Here is a 3757-nt window from a genome sequence, read left to right on the forward strand (position 1 = left end):
GGCATGCTTCATTGTTTTTATTCTTTTTTCTTTTGTCTCCTCTGTGTATTTTCAAGTAGCCCATTTTTAAACTCACTAATTCTTTCTTTCCTTGATTAAGAGACTCTGATGCATTCTTGAATATGTCAACTACATTTTTCAACTCTAGAATTTTACTTGTTTATTTTTAATTATTTCAACCTCTTCATTAAATTTATCTGTTAGAATTCTGAATACCTTCTCTGTTATCTTGAATTTCTTTGAGTTTCCTCTAAACAGCTGTTTTGAATTCTCTGTCTGAAAGGTCATACATCTTTATTTCTCTAGGATTGGTCCATGGTATCTTATTTAGTTTGTTTGGTGAAGTCATGTTTTTCTGGATTATTTTCATACTTGTAGATGTTCACTGGTTTCTGAGCATTGAAGAGTTTGATATTGCAGTCTTTGCAGTCTGGGCTTGTTTGTGCCTGTCCTTCTTGAGAAAACTTTCCAGGTATTTGAAGGGACTTGGATGCCAATCCCAATAATACTGTAGTTTTTGCAGTCTCAGAGAGATACCACCTCGGGGGTCTTAGATAAGATCACAGATAATTATCTGCATTACCCAGAAAAAAGAATCTTGTTCTCTTTCCTTATTTTATCCCAGACAAATGGTCAATCTCTCTGCTGAGCCAGCTGGAACTGGAGTGTGGTGATGCAAGCATCCCAGTGGTCACCATATATGAAATTAGCTGTGTGTTTTTAAAAAATGCCTTAAAGCAGGTTGAGAAAATTCTATTCTGTTCACTATTTATTGAATGTTTCATTATTAAGGAGTGTTGAACTTTTTCAAGTAGTTTTTCTGAATCTATTGGGAAAATCATGTGGGTTTTGACCTTTATTTTATTTATATGGTGTATTATATTGTCTTTCAGATGTAAAAGCAGCATTGCTTGTATGGGTTAAATCTCTCTTGGTAATGAAGTACAAGTTTTTTTTATTTATGGATAGATTCAGTTTGTTAGTATTTTTTTAATGCTTTTTGCATCATATTCAGAGAGATTCCTATTCCCTAGTAGAGTGTATAACATGTATTTAGCTAGTATATAGTGATCGCACAAATCTAGATGGTGGAGTCTATTACACATTTAGACTATACTATCATATATGCAGTCTGTCATTGACCGAAAGGTTGTTATGTGATACATGAATGTAATATGTACACAAAGTACAGTTTTGTACAGAAATAATAGTGTGTGTATATAGTTCATATTACATATCACTAAAATACATGTACTTAACATCCTTAACAGGTTCTTGGAAATCGTGACTTTAAGCAAAACAACGTATAGTATGTCAAAGAAACTTGACTTGAATTTATATCAATTTGTGTAGGATAACATTGATTTCATTATATAGCATATTGTGTCACTTAAAGTCACAGTTTCTAAGAACCTGTTGACAACATTAAGTGAGAATGTACTGTAGTTAGTATTATAGTATATAGTACAGCATTATAATACCATAGTGTATTATTGTAGTCTTAACAGTTGGTAGTATAATGTGTTTCAGTTCTCTTCCTGTTCATAGGATTATTCAGACAAACCAATAACACCCTACTGTGGGAATCAAAGAGCATCTCACTTTCTTGATCCTGCAAAGCCTTCCCCTGACACCCCCTGCTTGCTTTCTCTGCTTCCAGGTGCAATATCTGTGTGGGCCCATGTAGCTTACGGTACTTTCCTCCTTTTAACTGTGAGTATACGTAACTAGTAAATTGTTGTCAATCTTAAAGATCCTTGAAGTTGAGAGATAATAAATATATTTGATACAAGACTCCATAGCTTCTATTTTTTTTTCCAATTTTAGTCTCTAAACTGTAAAGCATTCATGAAGACTTAAGCCTGCGATGTCTCAGTTCTGCTCCATGTGTTTATATACAACCAGAGGAAACAGTGGCTTGAGTTTGCCTTTTTAAATCTTTTTTTTTGGCTTTTCTCCCCACTTTATCAGGACATCCTTTGTTTTCTCTAAAAGTTATCCAGAGCACTGCTCTCACACTACACATATAAAGGACATAGTAAGTGAGGTAGTGACAAAATTCTGGTTAATGATATCTTGCTTGATTTCTGTAGAACTATAGGGTTTAATTCCTAGATCTAGATGCGTTATTCATTGTCACAGGCTGAGCCAACTGCCCTAGATTTATGGAGGGAATAACTGAGGAACTGCTTCTCAGCCAACATCTTGCTGAAGAGTGAAAGGAACAGAAGTTTTAAGACTCCCACAGTATTCACTTCAGAGAGTTTACTAATGCCCCAGAATTCCAAACATTCTCTACTGTCATTGTACCATGTAGCCTTTCAAGTGGTGGCAAATGGTCTGTGTAGTTTCCATATTTTCTATCAACTGCAAGAGCACCCAAGGTAAAAATGAATAGGAAATGAGTGTGGCAGAGTGAATATAAATTGCTGCATTTTTGAGAAGAACACATCAAAGTCTTGGCAGTTGTTCTGTGAGGAACCTGAGTCACATTGCTGAAGTCCATTGAGAATAGGAGGATAAAGTCAGCTTGATGAAATGTGGGTTTGGTGTCTGTAATGGTTAATTATAGATGCAAATATGACTGGGTTGAAGGAAGGATGCCTGGATGGCTGGCAAACCATTGTTCTGGATTGTCTGAAAGGATATTTCCAGGGGGGAGTTGTGTATGCATTAGTGAACTGAGTGGGGAAGATTTACTGTCAATGTGGGGAGGCACCATCTAATTGGCTGGGGCCCAGCTGGAACAAAATGTGTGGGATGCCCTTCTTCTCCTGCTCTTGTACATCAAAACTCCAGGTTCCTTGGCCTGTGAACCATTTGGCCTTATGGCACCTTTCCTGAGGGTGATCATCCAGCCACCAGGTGTCAGGTTATTGGCCTGCTTCCATCATGGAAAAGCAGCATTTCATCCTTACTGGAATAGATGCTTACTCTGGATATGAATTTGCTTTTCTTGCATGCAGTGTTTCTGCCTAAAATACTATCTGTAGACTTACAGAATGCCTTATTCACCATCATGGTATTCCAGTTGGTATTGGTTCTAATCATGTCAGCCAAAGAAGTGCAGCAATTGGCTCATGCTGAAGGAATTCACTGGTTTTACCACGTACCCCGCCATCCTGAAGCAGCTGGCTTGACAGAAGGGTGAAATGGCCTTTTGAAGACACAGTTACAGCACCAGATAGGTAATAGCACCTTGTAAGGCTGGGACAAGGTGCTCAGAAGGTTGTATGTGCTTTGCATTAGAATGCAAGATGTGGTACTATTTTTTTTCCATAGTCAAAATTCACGGGTCCAAGAATCAAGGAGTGGAAAGAAATGCAAGTGGCATCACTCACTATTACTCCTAGTGACACCATAGCAAAATTTTTTTTTCTTGTTCCCATGACTTTGTGCTCTGCTGGCCTAGAAGTAATAGTTCCAGAGGAAGGAATACTCCCACCAGGAGACACAAAAATGATTCCAATAAATTGGAAGTTAAGACTGCCACGTGTACACTTTTTGTCCCCCAAGCCTCTGATTCAACAGTCTAAGAAGGGAGTTACAGCGTTGGTTGGGGACAGTGATCTGGACTACCAAGAGAAAATTAGACTATTATTCTATGACAGAGATCAGAAGGAGTGTGTCTGGAATACAAAAGTTACATATATTATATAATAAAATACAGAAGTTATATATATAATATATATTATATAATTCTGTATAATATATAATATATATTATATAATTCTGTATAATATATAATATATATTAT

Source organism: Homo sapiens, chromosome 11 (genome assembly GCF_000001405.40).
Source record: "Homo sapiens chromosome 11, GRCh38.p14 Primary Assembly".
Classification (NCBI taxonomy): Eukaryota; Metazoa; Chordata; class Mammalia; order Primates; family Hominidae; genus Homo; species Homo sapiens.